Source organism: Homo sapiens, chromosome 10, assembly GCF_000001405.40.
Source record: "Homo sapiens chromosome 10, GRCh38.p14 Primary Assembly".
NCBI lineage: Eukaryota > Metazoa > Chordata > Mammalia > Primates > Hominidae > Homo > Homo sapiens.
In genome coordinates this window covers 47,229,593-47,246,145 of record NC_000010.11, presented here as the reverse complement: position 1 = coordinate 47,246,145, position 16,553 = coordinate 47,229,593, and positions in this window count along the sequence as shown.

The window sequence follows — 16,553 nt, the reverse complement described above, 5'->3', positions numbered from 1 at the left end:
CTTTGCAACTGCACAGCTTCAGTTTTTTGGGGGGCAAAATCCTAGGTGGTGAAGCTTTAAGACAAATTCAGCCTTGCAGAAGCTGCCTCAGCCTTCGACTCCCAGCTCATGTGCCCTCACTTGTGCCTTGGCTGCACCTTGAGGCACCTACAGCAGCAGCATGGCCTATACTACAGGTCTTCTCAAAGCTATGAGGGACTGAGCCCAGTTATCCCCTCGCCTGGCACTGCCTGGCACAGAGCATGTGCTCATCAATGAAGATGGGGTGAAAGTCAGGCCGATGGCAAGGGAGACAGCATTGTCACTCGTGACTCAGGGTTGGGTGCTGGTTTGCCTGGTGCGGGAGGAGCTGTTCTGAACACTCCATGCTAATCCCTTTGCTTCATCCACACAGCTTCATCCTCATGAGGGTGGACTATTGTGATCTCCATTTATGAGGAGGACTAAGACACAGAGCAGTTAAGGAATGTGCTTGGGTGTCACACAGCCTGGCAATGGGAGGAAGACCCTGCATAATGGGTCAGGCTGTGGTGGGGTGGGTGTGGGGGTCCTGGGGCTGAGGCTCAAGCTTCAGGGCCATCCCCAAGAATCATTTATGTCCCATCAGGCTTACATTGTCCTGGGGGATTCTTGAAAATGTCCAGGGAGCCTGGTGGGAATGGGAAGAGACACTGTGGTCTGGGCATTTGTTTCCAATGACATCTGCACTGTTCAGGCTGCAGCCAGGCCTCCCTCCTGCCAAAGCACCAGCTCTGCAGTGCTGCTGGCTGGCTGTGCCTCAGCAGGTCTGCACTGTGCTCAGAAGCTTCATCAGTGTGTTTTTCCCTAAGAGGCTGGGGCTGGTGGGCACCCTGGGACACGACTGTGAGTGGAGGAGGCCAGTGCTCTGGGGCAGAAGCAGCCCAGGCACACTGCAGGGCTGGCGCATCCTGTGCTCCAGCTGCTGAGCCTCCCCCCACCGCACCCTCCCCCTGCCACCCCACCAGAGGGCACAGGGACAGGCACCTGCCAGGTGAGCTTGTGCCCAGAACACCTGGGGTGTTTTCACACCCCCGTCTCACTGAATCCCACGGCACCTCTGTGTTCTCCACTTTCCAGAAGAAAATAGGCTCAGCAGTCAGGGAGTTCTAAGGCCACCCAGAGGTGAGTGGGTCGGGTGGCCAGGGTTTGGACTCAACATTCAAAGAGATGGAGAAACATGTCTATCCTGGGTCTGAGTCTAAGCGGTGAGTCATTTGGGCCAGGCATTAATCCAGACCATTCTCATTTGGATGAGAACATGAGTGGCAGGTGAGGCTCGCCCGAAGAGCCAGCACCCCACATGTAGGAGGGGCAGGCCCAGCCCCCCAGCTTCAGGCAGGTCAGCCGGCTCCTGCATGACACATCTGCATTGTTCTGGACACTTCGCCACCTCATCTTCATGCATGGGGTGGGGTCAGGAGGGAGCCCCGCCTTTCTGCCTGGACCGGAAGCCCCTGGTGTTCCCCACGTGGTGGTCCTACAGACCTGCCCTTATCCTGAAGCACAAGGCAGGCTGGACTCCTGCTGACCTGTTTCGGTTTTCTCCTCTGTTAATCTGGAATGCTAACGCATTTTTCACAGAGCGGTGGGGAGGACATGAAGGCATGTTGGAGGCATTACAGAGCTGCAGTGCAGAATCATAAGCTATTGCTATAAGAGGCCGAGGAAGAAAACTGGACTGGAATTCAAGTGTCGAAGGCAAGGGTTAGTTTGTGGGGCAGGGATTTCCAAATTTCTGATCAGGGGTCTCTGGGTGAGGCTCCAGGCTGAGTGAGCCCCTCTGCTCTTGTCTGTTCCTGCCTGTGGCCAATGCCAGAGCAACTTTCTGAGGGTCCTGAGAGGCGTGGTCCTCCTTCAGGTGTCACACTGGTGAGATGCCATCTGGGTTTTTATTGAGCCTGATCAGAAGCCATAAATCAGCCATGAAGCAGATGCTGGGCCTCATCCCAGAAGTGTCCACCACATACGAGAGCCTCCTGGGTGGCCAGGCATTGCCCTGTCTGGAGCACACTGGGGCTTGGCTGGCCAAGGCCAGCAGGCTCCCAGGCTCCCTGGAGACTCTAGGGAGGAGGATGGCTGTGCTAGGAAGAAGGGCCACTTTTTCACTTTGCTTCATTACCAGTGATGAGAGGCTGCAACTGGCTTGCACAATATGGTGCAACCCACTCCCCGGGGGCCCGTAAGTCAACAGAGGCCTAAGTGTCTTGCCTGCCCTTGGCTGTGGCTTTCCTTGAGGCAGAAGGCTGGCTGTGACACGCTAGGAGGCCCCTTCTGATTTTACATTTCTTCTCTGGGGCCCAATAGGGCCTCCTTTCTCTGAGCTGCTGGAGCAGAGTGTCTAGGAAACACACGTTTTCAACTCCTGCACAGAGTCCCTGGCTTTGGCCTGAGCTAAGTTTGCCACTCTCCCTATTCCCTTCCACTTTTTGCCCTGATCAGAGAATCAACCCAACCTGCCACCTTGTTGGGCTCCGTGGGACTGAAGAGGGAGAGGCAGGGCAGGCCCCACTTGCTTGCTGTGGAACCGGAAACCCAGGCCACCCTCAGGTGGGAGAAGCAGCACAGGCTTAGCAGAACATGGCCCACAGGGAGAAGTGGGACTCAGCAATCCAGATCATGGGCTTGAAAGGAGGCAGGGCCTGGGTTCAAATTCAGATGCAGACTTCCCAGCTGCACTACTGGCCCCCTGCGTCTCCCGGGGCTGTATATGAGCACCCTGCAGAGCAGTTACAGGTAAGCCCTTTAGTGCAATGTCTGAGCCCCATATGCAAGGGGCTGGGGAAGTCATGGGGGTTATTACTGGTGCCATGCCACACAGTGTATGTGGCTCATCTCAGCCCCTTGATGGTGCGGGAGGTAATATTATACCCATTTTACAGGTGGGGAAAGCTAAGGTAGAGAAGATGATAGACCATTTTGATTTGCCCCAAATCTCACTGGAATCCTGATGTTTTTAGCCCCAAAGGCTGGACTGCTATTTACTAACTTTCACATTATCTCCTGGGGTTGAGGTTTGATGCTCCCAGTACCCTGGATGCTGGTAGAACTGGGTTTCTCCAGTGCAGGACTTAGAACAACAAGCTTGTTTGGGCACAAGCAACACCCACCATAATTGAGCATTTCAGAGATGAGAAAGTATGGCTTTCTTCTACTCCCCACCATCTTCTAACAAAGACATGTCCATTATGATGCCACAAAAATAACAAACCAGACCAAGGAAAACAGAAAGTAAAAGTGGAGAAGCAAGGCTAGGTAAATAAGACACATATCCATCCACTGCAAAGACCAACATAGATGCTATAATTGAGCCCCGGAGTTCACCCTGAACTTCTGGCAGCAAAAGAGAGCCTCAATAGGTTATAACATTCTCACAGACACAAAGAAGCCCCCCACTGGTTGTGGTTGTTCAGGGACACTCAAGATTTCCATGGCAGGGCTTTGCATGTGTGGCGGGGCTTCCAGACCTTCTCAACTGCAAATGGTAATGGCCCTCCCTCAGCTGCCCCTGAGGCATTTCCTCCATGGAAGCCGAGATCTCAACTCCTTAGGTTTCTGCATTTCTGGAAAGGGACAGGCTTACTCTCCTTTCATGGAACACAGGTGGTTAACTCCACCAAAAGTCAGTCGCTCAATGGGGGAATTTATCTAATGGGGAGATGCCTGTCAGAACAGCCACTGGACTTCTAGACAATGACTGTGTACTTCCCAAAGGTTCCCATTTTCCAAAGACATTCTGGCTTCATGGACACCCGGGGCTGTGGCCACACAGAGGGTGGGTGTGGGTTCTGGTGCTGCACTTGGCTGCAAGTGGCAGAAAGGTGGGCTTGGAGCATGTGGGGCCAGCAGCTGAGATGGCGATGCAGTTAGAGTCCCACGCCCATGATCCCTCACTGCTCCCTGGCACCTTCCAAAGGAATCCAGACATTTTCTCAGAGACACAGCTAGTGCCAGAAGCTGATTCCTTTTGATGATCCTGGGGCGATGCCATGGGAAGTTTCCTCTGAAATGCAAGTCTGTCTATTCCAGGCTCCAGAGGGACCTCTAAATCCAAAGGCCCTGCTCTCTTCCCCTCCCCAGGGTACGTGAAGGGCTGTCTCAGCTTCTTGCTTGAAGAATACTCCAACTTTCACTCTCAGAAGAGAAGTGTGAGTCAAGAGGGAGGGAAATAATTCCTGAGCACCTACCTTGTACCTGGTGCCTCCAGTGGGAGAGTCAGCTTCTCAGTTTGTCAACAATGGAGGAGTTTTCTGGGACACTCAAACTGGAATAGCTGGTCACCCAGCTTCATTAACCCCACGGCATTCTCATGAGGTGGGAGCTGTCACTGCTCATTACAGATGCAAAAGCTGGGGCTTTAGGAAGCCATTTGCTCCATTTGGGGTCCCCAGGGTCACGGTCCTTCCACTCCCGCATCTTGTCACTCCTGAGGGTATGAGAAGACATTGAAAACCTAGCAAGCTGAGTTCCCTGAAACCTTCTGGCTTTCCTTGGCTTGTTCTTTGCTTGCTGGTGGGGAGGTCTTCCTTCCCCCGACTCCATGTCTCTATGGAAAAGGAATCCCCCATTAACCTCTGAAGCCTCTGTGTGCCCCAGATCTCTCTGGAATACTGTGGCTGAGGAATCCTGAGCCCCATGTGGCTCAGAGCCAAATTACAGGCTGTGCTCAGATTTCTGTCCCATGTCGGGATCACTTGCCCTGCAGAGAACACTCTTGGCCATGTGGGGTTGGAGGAGGAGATCTGTCTACCTGGCAGGTCTGTATAGCTGCACATCTAATGCTGCATTCTTCAATCAGCTTTGCCAGAATGAAGGTGACATCTTGCCACCCATAAGTAGGGCTACTGCTTGTCCCTCCTAATGGATGCCTAAAAGGAATGTTATGTTTTGAAACCCCAAAAGCCCCAATATGTAAGTTTTCCTATGTGTCAGAGACTTCTAGCAAGACCTTTTACCCCAGGAAAAGCCGTAAAGTGCTTTGCTAGAAGTAAAGCACTTTGTGGCTTTTCCTGGGGGACCCATGGAGCACCACAATTTTGTTTCTCAGAAGAAAGGAGCCTCGTGTGCAGAGGCTAGTTAGAATCTTGTGAGAAGTCAGGCTCTGAGCTTTCCCAGCTGAGGGTCCAGCATTAAGGCCAAACCTTTCTGTGGCTTTCTCGAGGGCGTATGGGACAATGCAGGGGCTTCCAAATCATTCTCCTGAGAAATGTTATGCAGGGGCTGCAGGAGACCTCTGTTTCTTTCTTTTTTTTTTTTTGTTATTATTATACTTTAAGTTTTAGGGTACATGTGCACAATGTGCAGGTTAGTTGCATATGTATACGTGTGCCATGCTGGTGTGCTGCATGCATTAACTCGTCATTTAGCATTAGGTATATCTCCTAATGCTATCCCTCCCCCCTCCCCCCACCCCACAACAGTCCCCAGAGTGTGATGTTCCCCTTCCTGTGTCCATGTGTTCTCATTGTTCAATTCCCACCTATGAGTGAGAATAAATCCTGCCTCTCTGGTCTCTGGCTGGAGCCAGAAAGAATTCTACCCTCCTTCTCCTTCCCTCCTGCTTGCCCTAGGGGATCCTGAATCAAAGGGGACCTCACACCTGGCTTGTTCTTATCTTGATTGGTGCCCTAAGCTTTCCCCCTTGGTATTTTCAGAGTGAGGGCTCAGGTTAATCTGAAAGTCCTACTGGAGACCACCCACCTCCCTTAAGCAAGCAGCTTACCTTTCAGCCTAGCGCCTCCTGTGCCTGGGATGTTTGACAGGCATGCTCACACTGAAAGTGGCTGATAAGCCCTGGGAGCTGTGGCTCTTTCACAGATGTTGGAGCCAGAAAGCTCACTGGCAGAGTCCTTCCTCTGAATGGCATCATTTTGTCCATTGGCCTGGGACAGGGCAGTGAAGGTCAAAGGTGAGACAATGTGGCAGAGGGGACAAGCACTGTGGTCCCCTGGCTAGAAGATGGACATGGGAGGCTAGAAAGCTCGTGACCTCCCGACAAAGCTTCACAGGATCTCACCCACATTGCCCAAATATATGGCTCTGGGGCAAGGATTTAGGGGGTGAAGATCAGAAAGAACTCAGAGTTTGGTTTGCAAATCTTCAGGCGCTTCTCCTGGTGTCCTCTAAAGAGGAAGTCACCACCTCAGGCTAAGAATGGCATGTGCAGAGCCCCACCTGAAGTCACTTTCCTGTGTTTGTCGCTCTGTTGTCTCATCTTCGTCCCTGTAGGGAACCTGTAGGAAAAGCCTTAAATTGAGAGTGACCCTGGGCTTATTAACAGCAGAAAGTAGGGAATGATGATACCAAGGGACAGGATGAGAGAGAAGGCCACACTAGGAAGAAGATGAAGCTGTTCAAAGTGTAGGGTCTCAGGCAGGAGAACCAGGGGGTTCAGGTGCCTGCAGGTCTGTGAAGAGCTGTTTCAGTTAAACATTCTACTCCAAAACTTAGTGGCTTGAAGAAACAACTTATGATTATTTCTCCTGGTTATGTTTTGTATTGACTGGGCTCAGCTGGGTGGTTTGTGTTAAGAGTCCTCATGCAGTTGCAGTCATAGGGTGCCTGGGCTACAGTATGTGAGGGCTCTGCTAGGCAAGACACAGATGGCTGCTGATGCTGGCCTTTGGCTGGATACTCAACTGGCATGTCAACACCTATCTGTGGTCTCTCAGTGTGGCTTGGGCTTCCCACAACGTGGAAGCAAGAGGCCCAGAGAACATCCCAAGGGTGAGCTGGCAAGAGGCCCAGGTGGAAGCTATAAGGCTTCTTTCAACTCAGCCTCAGATGTCCTAGAATGTTACTTCCATCGCACTGTATTAGCCAGGAAGTTAATGAGGTCAGCCCATTTTTAAGGGGGCAAAGATTAGATGCCACCTCTTGACGTGAGGAGTTAGTTGTGCATGCACAGGAGAGGCAAGGACAAGAGGGCAGCACCTGGCATCTGTCTCTTGCTGGACTTGCCAGGTAGAGTGTGGAAGGCAGGGTTGAGGGTTTTCTTCAGGCTCTATCTGGTATTGCTGTTGGCAGCAGTGATAATGGTGAGGCTATTTCCCAAATGCACTTCGCAAAACATTTTTCACATCTACATGATTTGCCAGCGAGTAAGCAAGAGGTTAGTGAGAAGCAGAATATTCTTTACCTGCCTGTGTTAAAGGTGAAGAGACAGGCTTGAAGCAGTCAAGTGACTTTGCTCACACGACACGAGTTTTCTGCCATTTGCCCCAGCTCAAGCCCACCCATCCTCGCAGGTGACACCCTCCATGTATTAATGTGCCCTGTCCCAGGCTTTGCCAGCATCCCCAAGCCCTCTTCATGCCTCTGGGCAACAGATCTCCTCCTGGGTTCTGACCTGGCTCTCTTGCTGTTTGCTGAATGCCCAGTTAAATGGCTTCACTTCCATGTGACTCCGTTTTTCCATCCTTAGTGTGGAATTGGAGCCAGGACTGGGGAGCAAGGAAAGGAGTTGGAGAAAGCAAAACCTTCCTGGGTGGTGCAGAGTGGGCTCTGGGAATGGCCTGGGGGCAGACAAGAAGGCCAATTCCAGCTGGCCCCATGGCCTCCTTGCTGGCTGTCACTGGGCAGCTCCTTTTCAGGCCACTGGTCCAAGGGGAGCACAGGTCAAGGGTGAGCTGCTGGTCAGATCCCTAGCCCAGGGCAAGCCCGGAGGCTGCAGTTATGTGTGGAACCACAACTGCCCCAATCTTCAGCTGTTGAAACATGAAAAGTAATCCTGTTTTGCCTAAATGTACTCAAATCATTCAGGAGTGTGTGTGTGTGTGTGTGTGTGTGTGTGTGTGTGTGATATTTAATGAGTGAGTGGATATTTTAAAACAGGTTTCATTAATAAACTGTACTTACCATTTCCTGCCCAAGCCCCTACCCTACCTCCTCCAACTCTGAACCATCTGGGGGTGGTCTTGGCTAGTATTACACTCAACACAGGTGACAACCATCGGTAACACTGGCTGGAGTCCCTTGAATGTGCCAGCCAGTCTGGAAACTGTGGGCCCAAACACCAGCAATGTCCATGGCTGACCCCTGTCTCACTGTCACATCCTGGTACTGTTATGGAGCCCTGGCCCTCAAACTCAGGGAGCACACTGGTCACTTCCGTGAAAAGCCACACGGTGCCCCTGATGGGGTTAAAGTGCTTCATCCACGGAGTGAGCTTGTGTGTCTTACAAAAGGGCTGGGCATGGGGGTAAGAATGGAATTTCACCCCAAGGATCAAGCTCTGTTTCGACCCTGATATAAGAGGAGGAGGAGGAGGAGGAGAAAACTGACACCATACAGAAGAATTAAACCCCTGACACATGATTTCCCTCCCCTGGATGGCAGCCCAGGAAGTGCTGCCCCCTGTTGCCAGCCTAGACACTATTTGCAGCTTCTGCCCTGGGCCACCAGTCATAAAATATAAAGTACACAGAGCCCTAAGTCAACACCAGGGAGAGTCACCGCACAAGGTGGGCTCCAGTATGGCCTGGGGGTTTGCTGGCATGGATTCCTTGAGCCCCTGCCCTTTCTAGATCTTTCCCAGGTTCCCTCGGGGAAGCCTCACCATGCCTGGGATGGGCAGCAGCAGGACATTTCAGAGGTCCGGGGTGGAGAAAGGGAGACTCAGCCAGGAAACACATGGCAGGGCCCTGGTCATTGCCCATATCACTGGGTACTGCCAGGGAAACTAGCAGTCAGCAGCAGGCAACCCCAGGAGGCTCCAGGGCTCCGTGCCTGGAAGAGCTGTTTGGAACCTCTCTGACTTCCGTGGGCAAGAGTAAAGTGGGGAGAGGTTGGTATCCTTGGTATCCACATCTGGCAGAACTACTAAAGCCAGTGAGGGCCGGGGGCAGAGGTGACACTCTCCTCTTGCTCCAATCCAGAGAAGTGGTCCCTGTGTCTGCAGAGAGGGTGGCCTCATATGGCTTCTTGAGTTAATGTTTCATGTATTTCTGTGTGATAAACTACCCCAAAACTTAGACACTCAAAATAATTTATCATGCTCTTTCACAATCCTGAGGGTTTACGGGACTCAGCAATCAGATGTCACCTAGGACTAGAGTCATTCGAAATCTCGCCTAGGCTGGACACTCAAGACAGCATTTTCTCTCTCATGCCAAGTGCCCAGACTGAGATGGCTGGCCAACTTGGCTGGCTGGGAATCTTTCTCTACAGATGACCTCTTTGTGTGGGTAGCCTGAGCTTCCTCACATCATGGTGGCTTCAGAAGAGTTGTACTTCTTATCTGATGTCATGCTTATTGTGGATTAAATGAGGATGTGAATATTGGGAAACATGGTTCATTAGGGAGCCATCTTTAGAGACCAGCTTCCACAGGTAGAAAGAGAGGGGCTAATATTGGGGTGATCTGGAGACCTTTACTTCTCCTTGTTAAACTCACTGTGGAGCCAAAATGGCCAATGGGGCTCATCTGGTTCACTACTTCAGACTGTTAAGCATGGCCTCCCAGTGCCCTGAGGGTTCTGGGGTCATGTCCAGGCAGACCCCCTGGTCCCTGCAGCGGTTTGCTTGCCATCAATATATCCTGAAATGCTCCTCAGACAACTTGGTCCCTTGTTTCCATGTGTCCTGCTATCCTATTGTCAAAGCAACTACCCAATCCTGGGAAGTCTTATTATTAATTGTCTTTTTTTATTATAGCCATCCTAGTTCTTGGTTCTTTATTTCCTGTATCCATTTCTTTTCTATTGTTTTCACTGTCTCTAGCCTCTCTTTGCTCCAACCCCTGGGGCACAGGATTGCCAAGGTAATTATCATCAGATGTAGATCTTAACCTAATATTCTCCTATAGAGGAACTTGGAGTAGACATGAAAATTCTCCGATGAGAAGTTCAGGGAAAAGAAAATACATCAGGTCCATATGAAGTCACAGTCATTTCTCTTTGTTTGATCCTTAAGTGCATAGATTGCTTCTTTGAGTTTTTTGGTGTCATATATATACAATTCACACATTCATGAAATTCATTCTTTTAGTGTGCAATTCAGTGGTTCATAGTATGTTTACAATGTTCTACAAGTATCATTCCTATATAATTCCAGAATATTTTTATCACCTCAGAATGAAACCCCATACCCATTAGCATTCACTCTCCATTGCCCCCTCCCCACTCCACTGACAATCTAATCTATTTTTGTCTCTATGGAATTGCTTATTCTGGACATTTTCTATAAGTGGAATTCTGCAATATGAGGCCTTTTGTGCCTGGATGTCTTCACTTGGTGTACTATTTTCAAGGTTCATCCATGTTGTAATATGTATCAGTACCTCATTATTTTTATAGCTGAATATTTTATTGTATGGATATACCACGTTTTTAATCCATTCATCTATTGATGCATACTTGGTTTGTTTCCACTTTTTGGCTGTTCTGAATAATGCTATTATGTCTATCCATATTCAAATTTTTGTGTGCACATATGTTGTCATTTCTCTTGACTGTATGCCTAGGAATAGCATTGCTGAGTCATGGGGTAATTCTATGTTTAATATTTTGAGGGACTGCTGGACTGTTTTCCAAAAAGCCTGCACCATTTCATATTCCCACAACAGTGTATGAGGGTTCCATTTTCTCATGTGCTCACCAACACTTTCTATTATCTGTCTTTTTAATTATAGCCCTCTTGGTGGATGTGAGCAGTATCATATTATGGGCTTTATTGCATAAAAAAGGCTAATGAAAAGATACAAGTATCAGGTGGTCCAAGTGTAAACAACCTTGAGATTATGAAGGCAGAGTTGCAATCTAAATGCCTAACGGGAAGAGTTCCCGACCCTTCTGCATCATAAAGTAAAAAGAGTCTAGATGGGACAGAACCCTCTGTGAGGGCTCAGAATCAGGCCTAGCAGACTCCTTTCTAATTCTTATAACATGGGCTTCCTTCAAGAAAGCTGGAGTCCCATCCCTTTTAGTAGAGCCGACTGACCGCTGCTGTCATCACCATGAACAGGACCTGGTCCACCAAGAACTTGACATGATGCAGATGTGGGACCTCACTCACACACATGAACCCAGCAGGCCAAGGCAGGACATTGTGTGAAGAGGACCAGCAGCATGAGAGCATTGACCTTGAGGAAAGTGCTCAGGCCCCTCTCAGGCTCAGCTGACCCATTTCAAAGGCGAACAGGTGGGATTGCTATTCTACTCTACTGCTTTTGAAAGAAGAAAATCAACAGCCCCTGCCTCTATTTGTTGCCTAGGGCAAACATAACAAAGTACCACAGACTGACGGCTAACCGACAGAAACGGATGCTCTCGCAGTTCAGGAAGACAGAAGTCCAAAATCAAGGCATCAGCAGGGCCATGCTTTCTCTCCTCATTTCTTGTGGTTCCCAGTGATCCTTGGCCTTCCTTGGTGTGCAGCTGTGTAACTCCAGTCTCTGTCTCCATCACCACAAGGCTGTCTTCCCTCTGTGTGTCTGTGTCTTCACGTGGCTTTCTCCTCTGTGTGTGGGTCTGTGTATGCTTCTCCTCTTATAAGAACATTCAACATATTGGATTAGGGGCCCACTTCACTTCAGCATGACCTCATTTTAATTTATAACTTAACTATATATGCAAAGGCTTTATTTCCAAAAAGGTCACATTCACAGGTACCAGGGGTCAGGACCTCAACATATCTTTCAGGGGGACACAATTCAATCCACAGAACTGCCCATGGCTCGATCTTTTTTGCCATATTCTATACACTGCTTCTCGGTCCATCAGGAATGTCTTTCTTCTTTTCTATTCCCCCACCCTCCACCACACTTCCCCTTAGGCCTCTACCATTCCTTCCAGCTTCTATTATCCTAGTGCCTCTCTCTATGCCCTGATGACAAAAGCTGTAGAGTTAGCCACTGCATTGTACCTGGCAGTAAGTTGTACCTTTCTCCACCTGAAGTTAAGAAACTTGGATAGTCTCTCCTACTAACTTTAGCTTCAGAAAGCATGAAGTCCTTCCCTGTGCTTGCCCTGGATTCTTCCGCAGATGGAGGGATGCAGAGTTGCCTGCAGAAAGGTGTGTGCCTGGTTCTGTAGTCTGTATAAAGCAGCATGCTGTGCAAATCAGCAGCATTTAGAAAGCTCTCAGCATCTCCTGAGAACTTGTCAATAACACAGATTTTCAGCCCCTAGATCAGACCTACTGAATCAGAAACTCTAGGTGGACCCTGGCATTCTATGTTCTGACAAGTCCTCCAAGTGATTCTGATTCATGCTGAAGACTGAGAGCCACTGGCATAGACAAGTGCTTTAGATCTCTTGGAGAGGCTGATAAGTCAGAAGGCAGTAAATAAATTGCCAAATGTTTAGCCTGCAAGTGATGAAGTGAGACCAAAATGTGTGTCTGGCTGACCTGACAAAAGCTGTCCATGGGGCTGCTAGCTCCTGGGCAAGGGACAAAGCAAGTCTTTAACAACTGAGGGGAATTGGTGGCCTGGCTCCATCATGCTGCCCCAGTGAAACTCTGCAGAGTGAAAAAATAAAATAAAAGGAGTAGAAAAGTAAAAATCACATATGAGGAAACTAGAAAACAGGTACATTTGAGCCACAATTGGTGAGGAAGCATGCATGGCCTTCCAAAGGCAAGCTGCACAAACTGAGGGGTCTAAGGCCAGACTCCCCCTTTAGAATGACACTGGGGGACACGGGAGGGTTCTTTATGCAGCACAGCATGTAGAGGGTAGGGAAGCAGGGCAAAATGATAGAACATGGGGAAGCATGTGGACATGCATCTTTGCAAAAATGTGGATACCAGCATGGGGGCCAAAACAGGGAAGGCAAACCAGCAGACTTACCATTCTGATCGTGGTAACTAGAAGGAAAGGAAACATGAACTCCTAAAGATGTGCATAGAGATATAGAAATAAACCAATTTTCTGCATACATCCATGTATTAGGGGCTTCACTCTAAGCTTGGAAGATCTCATGACTTGGCAACATCAGATTTTCAGGGAAGAATGTAGATGGAAATACATTCACAGACAACAGGGCAGAACCAAGCTGCCTACTTATCTGCTATTCTTTAACACTTAGCAAGGGTTAAAGACTCCCTTCCAAGATAAGTAGTGATCAACAAGAAGCCAGCATGATATCTATGGAAGGTATTGAGGAACATGAAAAGGAAAAGAGTAAAGACAAAGGGCAGATGAGAAACACATACCTGGAGCATGATGACATCCAACACATGAAATTAGACCCCAAAGCCAAGAAATCAATAAAATTAGAGGAAATGTCATCACTCTGAAATGAGAGCTCAAAGAAGAGGTATGAGAACTTGAAGAAGAGATGATAAGATAACTAAGAAGATTTAAAAAATGAATCTGTAGCAATAACATTAAAAACTGTATAGAAAGAACAGCTACATGACAGTCATCAAAAAAGAGACCAGATACTGTTGAGTAAATAGGCAGTGAGAAAAAGGACAGAATTGAGAAAATGAAGCACAATGAAGTGGAAAAAAGTAAAGAGCTAATACAGATAAGAAGAAAGTGTATACATATGTAACAAATCTTCACGTTGTGCACATGTACCCTAAAACTTAAAGTATAATAATAATAAAATAAAATAAATAAATAAAAAAAGAAGAAAGTGAGATTTGAAAGACAGACAAATGCTGTCTCAAGTACAAATAGTTGATTTTTCTGAAGACAATAGCAGAAAACACAGAATTGAAAAATAAAGATATAGTAGAAGAAACTATCCTCGTGTAAAGAAAGATCTAAATTTACCCAAAATTTCATGACCCAGAAAAATGGTCATAGCACAACAAAATATGAGTGATATTCTGATGGAGATACTTTAATTAAAATGTAAAAAAGTCCCAACTCATTGGCCATCTAGGTTTAAAAACAATCAACTGAATTGCAAAAGAAGAAAGTTTCTGATAGTGGCTTGCAGTTTTCACAACAGAATCATTCAAAGTTAGAAGACAATGTGGTAATCTTAATCTTCAGAGAAGAAAACATTATTTAAGTTTAAGCAAGTAAAGCTGTCATTTTAAGAGTAAATGGTAGGCTGGGTATGGTGGCTCATGCCTGTAATCCCAGCACTTTGGGAGGCCAAGGCAGGTGGAACATTTGAGCTTAGGAGTTCAAGACCAGCCTGGGCAAACCCCAGTCTTTGTGGTAAAACCCCATCTCTACCCAAAATACAAAAACTTAGCACGGCATGGTGTCATGCATCTGTGGTCCCAGATACTTGGGAGGCTGAGGAGGGAGAATTGCTTGAACCCAGGAGCAAAGGTTGCAGTGAGCTGAGATCTCACTACTGCACTCCAGGCTGCGCAAGAGTGAGACTCCATTCCAAAATAAAAAAAAAAAGATTAAATAATAATAATGGTAATAATCAATTTTACTGAAAGCCAGACCCTTTTTAAGTGCCTGGCATGTGCAAGCGTGTGCCAGAGAGAAAGGGGATGAAATACTGTTTTCTGCTGTCATCCTACTACCTCAATCAGAGTGACTCTACAACATTCCACAGGCATGTTCTCCTGATAGGAGGCATGTGTGTTTGTGTGTGTAGGGGTGGTGGCTGGGGCTGGTTGTTAAAAATCACTTGACCAGCTGCGACAAAAATAAGGACCACAGTAATGAGTCATGGCTCCCATTTAGCAACTAAAACAGAATTAACCTTTTCTTTAAACAAAACAAACTCTTTTTATTATAAAATAATACTCATATAGACAATTTAGAAAATATAGAAAATAAAGAGGAAAATAATAGTTGCTAGTAGTATAACTTTAACAAAGAATAATTTCTTTTTTTTCAGTGCAGCCTCTTTTATTTTTACATAGTTGTTCCCAAATAAATATAGTTTTTATGTTGCATGTCACATTTAATATTTTTGTATCATTGGCATTTTTTATGTCTTCATACATTTTATATTCATAGCCTAATAATATCCCTTATATGGAATACATGTACACCTAGCTGGGGGCATAAAGGTTATTTCTATGTGCTGGCAGGAGAAGGGTTTGGCTTCTGCTGACAACTCTTATAAATAGCAGTGCAGGGCATAAAGCCTTTGGAAGGTGGATTGCTTCTTGGAATAAATTCTCATGAGTGAAAATAATTAGTTGCAAGATACATCTGGGCCTGACACAGAATGCCAAATTATTTTTTGGAAGGTTCATGATGGTTCACACTTTCACCCTCAAGACAGGGAGAACCAGTTCATTACACCCCGCTCATCCCTTGAGTATTCTTCCAGAGGAGAAAAATGACTCTGCAAGAGGCTTTTAATTTTTTGTTTCATTGATTGCTAGTGAGGCTAAACCTTCATTGCGTGTTCTGCAACTGAGTAAATGATCTGCTTCTACTGTGGCCTGTGCATCCACTTCCTGGCTCCGAGCCCTGTTTTACTTCCTCCCAGTCTTCAGCTCTCCAGCCAGATGCCACCCATCCCAGCCCCAGTCTGGGTCAGTGCTCTGAGCACACCCATCCCCACCCAGCTGGGAGACTCCTGCATTGAGATCTGTCCTCCACTACAGCACGACCTCCTGAGAGCAGGGAGACACACAGGGTAGACACATCGTCTGTGCTCAGTGCTGAACCAATCTGTGTCTTCCTCCCAGTGCTATCTGATGAGACTGCCTTTGAACTGTTATTTCCATCTTGAGGTCTTGACTTCTAGGCTCTGATCCTAGAACTGTGGCTGCCACCAGCTACAGAAGTCACCCCAAATGTCTTCCATTTCTTAATAAAGTCATCTTTCTGGGCCTCAGGAATCTCAAATCCCTTCTGTAGAGCCTCCCAGCACAGGGCTGCTAAGAGTTAATTAATCCACTTGGGAAGCCAGTCTGCCCTGGCAGGGTTCAGTCCATGGAGACGATCACATTTATCGTTTAGTTAAAGGCTTCATTTAGCCCCTGCCCTGAGGTGCGCACAGAGACATTTTCTTGGGCAAACTTAATTATTGCATCAGAAGAAAAAACATGTTCTCATGTTAGTTTTGGGGAGGGAGCAAGCGCCAGCAAGACTTCCTGTAATTTTCATTACCAGTAATGACATTTTCCACAATCCTGAATTCATTGGGTTATTTTAATTCTTTTTATATTCTTTGTCTAAATGGTGAAGGAATCTATCAAGGGGAGGCATGATATCACTTTTCATAAACTCAAGAAGTTGTAGGGTATTTTGAAAATCACCTAATCCATGCCTCCACCTTCATACAGCAGAACCATAGCTAAATCCTCTGACAGCTAGAAACCTCCTGAATCAGTCAAGATTTCTAGAGAAATGACTTCCACAGTCTCCCTGAACAAGCTGTTCTGTGGTTTGGAAACTCAGAATCAGGAAGGTCTCCCCAGGTCTGATAATTGTCCTTTGCAATAGCAGTGACAGTGTAAGGCTCCCTTTTATGGGCCGCAGCGTTCTCAACCTGGGTGCACGTGGAAATCACTGGGAAAATTTGAAGGTCCTGATGTCCAGGTCACACCCAGACCAATTAGATCACCTGCCTTGGGGAGGGAGCAGAAACCTGTCTTTTCAATGTCCCTACCCTGGGGGATGCTGATGTGGAGCCAGAGTGGAGACCCTGGCT